The sequence below is a fragment of the Homo sapiens genome, chromosome 10 (assembly GCF_000001405.40).
Source record: "Homo sapiens chromosome 10, GRCh38.p14 Primary Assembly".
Lineage (NCBI taxonomy): Eukaryota > Metazoa > Chordata > Mammalia > Primates > Hominidae > Homo > Homo sapiens.
This window is the reverse complement of record NC_000010.11, coordinates 8,508,357-8,516,215: the sequence shown is the minus strand read 5'-3', so window position 1 is coordinate 8,516,215 and position 7,859 is coordinate 8,508,357. Positions and strand designations below refer to the sequence as shown.

The 7,859-nt window shown below is 44.7% G+C and overlaps 1 pseudogene; it reads left to right on the top strand.

Moving 5' to 3' along the window:
• Positions 1,009-2,717, top strand: KRT8P37 (keratin 8 pseudogene 37; annotated as a pseudogene).

Genomic DNA, 7,859 nt, shown 5'->3' with positions numbered 1-7,859 from the left:
TCCACCCCCTCCCTAGAATTCACCTGTTATTGTTTACATATACAGTATGTAAGATTGTTTGTAAGATTCCTCAGATGTAATATGCAAACCTCTGGCAGGGTGAAAGATGTTTCAAAGATTTTAGAATTGTGTTCCTAAGCTGTTTTATTCATATGACCCACATATCTGAAGAGCGCTTTAGAGATGTGATCTCAGGCACTTGAAAACACAATAACCAACCAAGAGCCAGCCCTAAGGCTGATGTCTAGCTTTTTTCTTTTTTCATTTTTCTTCCTTTTTTTTTTTTTTTGTTGAGATGGAGTCTCACTCTGTTGCCCAGGCTGGAGTGCAGCGGCGTGATCTCGGCTCACTGCAACCTCCACCTCCCGGGTTCAAGCGATTCTCCGGACTCAGCCCCCTAAATAGCTGGGACTACAGGTACCCGCCACCACACCCGGCTAATTTTTGTATTTTCAGTAGAGACGCGGTTTCGCCATATTGGCCAGGTTGGTCTCAAACTCCTGACCTTGTGATCCACCTGCCTCGGCCTCCCAAAGTACTGGAATTACAGGCATGAGCCACCGCGGCTGGCCTGATGTCTAGCTTTTAAGAGGTCCATGCACAGCCCCAGAAGCAGGAGTAACAGGAAAATAATGCCATGGACTATATTGATTATTTGCTTAGAAGTGGCAATATTAGAGTGGAAAGATACACGTCAGTTCTATTCACTGTGCTGAATGAATTAGGCAGGAATATTGAAAAAAAAATACTGTGGTTCTTTATCTCAGGCACTATTATCTAGTGCATTATTATGTGGCATAGTGGCAAGAGCACTCCATTTGGAGGCTGAAGATCTGAGTTTTATTTCAATTTTGCCACCAATTAAACATCTGCCATTTGAGCAAGTTCCATTCTATGTGTGGACATCCATTTCTCCATCTGCAATATGAGACACTCAGATTACATGAACATGCATTAAACTGTGAACCTCAGACATGTTACCAAGTGCTCCTCAAAAAAGATTTACGGACCAAGAAGCAGCTTCTCTGCTCCTTCTGGAATCTCAGCCTGGTTCAGCCCGCCTGCTTCCACTCCTGCCTCCACCATATCCATCAGGGTGACCCAGAAGTCAGTCCTACAACGTGTCCACCTCTGGCCCCCAGACTTTCAGCAGCCGCTCCTACACAAGTGGGCCCAGTGCCCGCATCAGCTCCTTGAGCTTCTCCCGAGTGGGCATCAGCAGTTTCCAGGGTGGCCTGGGTGGAGGCTATGGTGTGGCCAGCGGCATGGGAGGCATCACGCCATCACAGTCAAACAGAGCCTGCTGAGCCCCCTTAATCTGGAGGTGGTCCCCAACATCCAGACAGTGCACACACACGAGAAGGAACAGATCAAGACCCTCAACAAGTTTGCCTCCTTCATCAACAAGGTACGGTTCCTGGAGCAGCAGAACAAGATGCGGGAGACCAAGTGGAGTCTCCTGCAGGAGCAGAAGATGGCTCAGAGCAACATGTACATGTTGGAGAGCTACATCAACAACCTTAGGCGGCAGCTGGAGACTCTAGGCCAGGAGAAGCTGAAGCTGGAGGCGGAGCTTGGCAACATGCAGGGGCTGGTGGAGGACTTCAAGAACAAGTATGAGGATGAGATCAATAAGGGTACAGAGCTGGAGAATGAATTTGTCCTCATCAAGAAGGATGTGGATGAAGCTTACATAAACAAGGTAGAGCTGGAGTCTCGCCTGGAAGGGCTGACTGAGATCAACTTCCTCAGGCAGCTGTATGAAGAGGAGATCCGGGATCTGCAGTCCCAGATTTCGGACACGTCTGTAGCTCTGTCCATGGACAACAGCCACTCCCTAGACATGGAAAGCATCATCGCCGAGGTCAAGATGCAGTACGAGGAGATCGCCAACCACAGCCGGGCTGAGGCTGAGAACATGGACCAAATCAAGTATAAGGAGCTGCAGACCCTGCCTGGGAAGCACGAGGATCACCTGCGGAGTACAAAGACTGAGATCTCCGAGATGAACCGGAACATCAGCCGGTCCCAGGCGGAGATTGAGGGCCTCAAAGGCCAGAAGGCTTCCCTGGAGGCCGCCATCGCAAATGCGGAGCAGCGTGGGGAGCTGGCCGTTAAGGAGGCCAACACCAAGGTGTCTGAGCTGGAGGCCGCCCTGCAGCGGGTCAAGCAGGACATGGCGCGGCAGCGGCGTGAGTACCAGGAGCTGATGAACGAACGTCAGGCTGGCCCTGGACATCGAGATCGCCACCTACAGGAAGCTGCTGGAGGGCGAGGAGAGCCGGTTGGAGTCTGGGATGCAGAAGGTGAGTATCCATAGGAAGACCACTAGCGGCTATGCAGGTGATCTGAGCTCAGCCTGCGGGGGCCTCACAAGCCCCGGCCTCAGCTACGCCATGGGCTGCAGCTTTGGCTCTGGCGCGGGCTCCAACTCCTTCAGCCGCACCAGCTCCCCGAGGGCCGTGGTTGTGAGGAAGATCGAGACCCGCGATGGGAAGCTGGTGTCCGAGTCCTCTGACGTCCTGCCCAAGTGAAAGGCTGTGGCAGCACCTCCCAGCCTGCCCCTCCTGCGGCTGCCCTAAAGCCCGGGAGGAAGGCCGCAGGGGAGCACAGGGAACGGGAGACCCACCTGAGGCTCAGCCCACCTGCGGGCGAGTTTACTGCCTGGTGACCCCCCTTGCCCGTGCCTCCAGCTACAAAACAATTCAATTGCTTTTCCACCCACCGCCCCGCCCCAAAATAAAACCTCAGCTAGCTCTGGGGGAAAGAAGAAAGAGAGAGAGAGAGGAAGGAAGGAAGGAAGGAAGGAAGGAAGGAAGGAAGGAAGGAAGGAAGGAAGGAAAAAAAGAAAAGAAAAAAACTGTGTGGCCAGAGAGTTTTTGAGGATCACAGTGTTACACACATATGTACGCTTTCTCAGAGATTCACAATAAACTTTAGCATACCAAATGCCTCCATGAGACATTCTAATAAAGCTTTACAACAAACACCAATTTAACTGTTTAGTGTTTCCCAAATATATTTTACCAAGAATCCTATGTGTGTTCTAAACAGCTTGGGCAGCACTGGACAAGATTTCCTAAGGGCCTTCCAGCTCTAATTGGACCCACCCCTGGTCAGGTTTGTCAGGGTTGTTTATCAGGGACCTAGAAGTTAGTAGTTCAAAGGGGACCTCAGGTGGGGTGCCATGGCTCATGCCTATAATCCCAGTGCTTTGGGAGGCCAAGGCAGAAGGATTGCTTGAGGCCAGGGGTTCAAGACCAACCTGGGCAACACAGCAAGACCCCATCTGTACAAAGAACTTAAAAAATTAGCTAAGCGTGGTGGTGCACCCTTGTAGTCCCAGCTACTTAGGAGGCTGAGGCAGGAGGATCACTGGAGCCCAGGAGTTCTAGGCTAGGCTACAGTAGCTAGGGTCCCACCAATGCACTCCAGCCTGGGCAATAAAGCAGGACTCTGTCTCCAAAAAAAAAGCAAAGGGGAACTCAGAAACCAGACAGCCTGGGTTCATATCCATGGTTTTCTACTATCTAGCTTTGCAAACTTAATCATGTAAAATTAATTTATCTGTACTTTAGTTCCTTCATCTATGAAATGGAGACAATAATATCATCTGTTTCACAGAGTCATTGTAAGAATTGAATGTGTTAACGCAACATATAAAATGCTTAGCGGATTACGTAGCAGCTTGTAAGTGCTGTGTATGTTAACATTTGCAACATCCAAAACGCTTATCTGATGCAACAGCCTAAGAGAAGAAAGAGCGAATGAAAAAAACTGACGTTTGCTGGGGATCTACTAGTTTTCATGCCAGATGCTTTACATACATAATCTCATTAAATCTTCACCATAAAACTAAGATCGAAATATAGTCTTTCATTTTACAGGTGAGTAAAACAAAGCTCTGAGGTATTCAAGAATCTGCCTGATATCACATGAAAAAATACTAAGACAAAAAATTGAGTCTCAAATTCAAGCATCCCTGACTTCAAAACTTAAGTTCGTTCTAACACATCACACTGCCTTCAAGAGTGAAAAGTAATAAACTTTCTACCATTTTATAGATGAAGAATGAGGCATATAAACTAAAATATTTCTCAGGATCACACAGTAAGGTTTGAATTAGAAAATAATCTACTTCATGTCATTCACCTCTATAATGTATTTATTACTGGATCCTAAAAGCAAAAGGACGTGTGAAAAGGGAAAAAGAATGTATCTCTTAATTTTGATCAGGGTACAACTTTAAAAATTTAGATTATTTTATCTTTCAATTAAGCATCTCCTGCACGTATTATGTCACATTTTGCAGAGATTTCGGCCTTCCCTACCTGACTCAGATTATGTTTTTAGAGAAGCATAGGTCTGAGGTAGACATTTAAAGGTCAAATTAATTCTACTGCCTCCAGAAAGAATGGGATCAAAATAAATCTCAAATGATAATCCCTTAACCTATTCTACTTTTAAATATTCAGAGATGAAAATTCTGTGACTTTGGTTTTTAAAAATTCAAATATTAACAATATATTTAAAATGTTACAGTATGCAAGGACCTTTGAGACATTTGTGAAAATAAAAACACATTAATCAAAAAAAATGAGAAAAAGATAGAATAAGAATAATTGATTTACCATGATGGACTATAGTTTGTGCACTAAGAACTGAAATTCAGGACTAAGGACTTGGGGGAGTAATTTATTGGATATTAATCTTCTGTCTTAGCAGGCAAAGCACGGCTTTACTTAGATATCTCTGCTGCATCTAAAGTTTTAAAATATGGAGTCAAAAATATATCTCTGCCACATATCCCATCCTGCCATTCTACCTGGTTCACCTTATCACTAAAACTTGTTTTTTACAGCAATGTCAAAGATGATAGAGCTTAGAGAGATTTCCATTTCGCAAGTAAAAAAGGGCAGACAGGTGGTGCAACAGCCTGCAGTGTGCTCAGAGGATGCAGCTAGCTGCCTAAATCCCAGCATCAGAGCCTGTCCGGGGATCACAGGGCATCTCATTGATCAGGCAACTTGCAAAGAACCATAGGGATGCATGGGCGATGTGTCAGCACCTGAATTTTCCGTTTGGGATCAGTGAGTGAGAGAAGGGATGGGGACAGGCACTCTTGATTCAGCTGAAAGAAAGCAATCTCTTTCTTTAGGAGTTTATAATAATGTGAAATTTATACAGTGGGTAACAGAGAACGTATTTTAACCTACAGAGTAGATAAAGGAGGTGTATCTGCATAACCTAAGTAGAACCTCCAACAGTTTAGATTTAGAAGAGGGGTGCAGAACTACAGGGTGTTCTTTGGAAGGCCTGTTCCACCCTTTTTTTTGGTTTGCAGATATGCATTCATTAGGATGTGTGGGCTGTCCCCATACGATTGCAGAACAGTGCCTACCTGGAAAAGGAACATATTTTAGCCAAGTTTGTTCTTTGGAAGCTAGGTCTCCATTCTCAGAGAACCACTATTTTTTGGAGTGTCATAGAAACTAACTCACCAAAATGCAAAAAAAAAGGAAAATTCCTAAGATACTGAGATGTCTGTGATGCAAATTCAAAAAGAATTCTTGGCTCTGGCAATTCCTACCCTTCTACTTAAGGTTATAATTAAAGGCAAATGTAAAGCAAGTTGGTGGTTGCTGGGAGAACAATGTGCTAGAAGGACATTCTGCAATCTTGTTTACTGCATTTAATGTTCAGGATCTTTCCAGAAGCTCAACCTCAAAGGTCCAATTGAATGAGAGTGAAGAGGATGGGAGTTCTGCTTGTAATTTTCCTAGTGCTTGTTTCTTACCAGTCTTATCTCTGGTGTAAAAATGGCCACATCCATCATTGAAGAGAAATATTTCCTATTTGTCTGAGCAAAGAGTAGCTCATATTTATAAATTGCCAAACAGAAATAACCATTCTGAATCTTACCCAGGCATTGAAGAGTAAGAGGAGCTAGGAGTACTGATTTCCTAGGCTCTGTCCTTTAAGAAAATCTAGTGTGTGTCATCGTGTTTGTTTTCATTATCTTAAGTTCTAAAATATCCTGTACATCCCTCAGATCATCCACTTCATTTTTTTCAACTTTGAACTCATTGTTAAGATTCCTAAGCATAAGGCCAGGCGTGGTGGCTTATGCCTGTAATCCTAGCACTTTTGGAGCCCGAGGTGGGTGGATTACCTGAGGTCAGGAGTTTGAGACCAGCCTGGCCAACATGGTGAAACCCCATCTCTACTAAAAATACTAAAATTAGCCAGGCATGGTGGGAGGAACCTATAATCCCAGCTACTCGGGAGGCTGAGGCAGGACAATCGCTTGAACCCAGGAGGCGGAGGTTGCAGTGAGCCGAGAAGCCTGGACAAAATAGCAAAACTCCGTCTAAAAAAAAAGAAAAAAAATTCCTAAGCATAAACCCTGTTACTCTTAAAATACCACTTCCAATCACTGCAACACTTTGTGACTCCTTTTAACAACAGCAATAAAACTTACCAGCGCAGTAGCCAACCAAAGAATACGTATATTAAAGGATGATCTGGGTGTTAATAAAAATCTCTAATTTCCCCTATCTGTGTATACAAGGGCCAGGCTTTTGAGTCATTTGTCAGTTTTTTTGTTTGGGTTTTGTGGTTTTGAAACAGGGTCTCACTCTTTCTTTCACACAGACAGGAGGGCAGTGGCACAATCGCAGCTTACTGAAGCCTCAACCTCCTGGACGCAAGCAATCCTCTGACTTCAGCCTCCCCAGGAGCTAGGACTACAGGTGAATGCCACCACGCCCGGCTCATTTTTGTATTTTTTGTAGACATAGGATTCTGCCGTGTTGTCCAGGCTGGTCTTAAACTCCTGGGCTCAAGCGATCCACCTACCTTGGCCTTCCAAAGTGCAGGGATTACAGGCATGAGCCACGGAGCCTGGCCTTTGTCAGTTAAATAGTGCTATTTCAGGGTTATGCACACACACATACACACACACACACAAAACCCTGCCCCAAATCTCTCTCTCTCTCTCTTTCTCCATCTTTCTAAATAGGTATGCAATAAAGAACTTTCCAAAAAGCCCCTTTTAGCATGCAGATATGTTTTTCCCCTAGAGGGGCTGCATTTAGCCCATTACTGAGCATTAATTCAGATTAGCTTCTCAGATTAGCAGAACATCGCCCTGAGGAAAAGGCACATAGGACAGGTGAATTTCACAGGACAGGGACTAAACACTCTCTTCTCAGGGAGTATGAGGGAGAGCAAAGGAGTTTTTCTAGGCAGGCAACTCTCAGCCCAGAAATCCCAGTCAAGCAGAGAATCCTCTGGCTGTCAAGCTCCCCGCCCCAGAGTCCAGCCCTGGGCATGGTATGAAATCTCTGAGCCTGAATCCGCCGTCCAGAGAGAGCTCTGCATCTGGGGGATGAGAGTGGGGACTCTGTGGCTGAATCCTGACTCTGCCACTTCTGAAATTAAACTTCCTGTGCTTCAGTGTCTTCCCATTCTCACCTATAAAATGGGAATTATAAAAGGATTCTTTCATTGGACTATTAAGAGAATAAATGAAACCCATGTGAAGTACTTGCAAGAGAGCATGGCACGTACAGACTAAGTGTTAGCTGTGGTCAGCATCAAGAAGCAATAACTAACCACATGTTCCCAATTGTTAAACCACACACCCCTTTGGAAAAAGGTTGAAAGAATGTACAGTGAAAGTTAATGAACGTCTCTTAATAGTAAAAATTATGGTTGCTTCTTTTAAGTGTTTTTTCCTTATGCATTTTCCTAAATTTCTTACAATGAATAAGATTAGTTTGACCAAAACAATTTACAAAAGCCTAATTAATATTTTATGTAAAAGGATGATGATTTGTATCTTATTTATAATAACA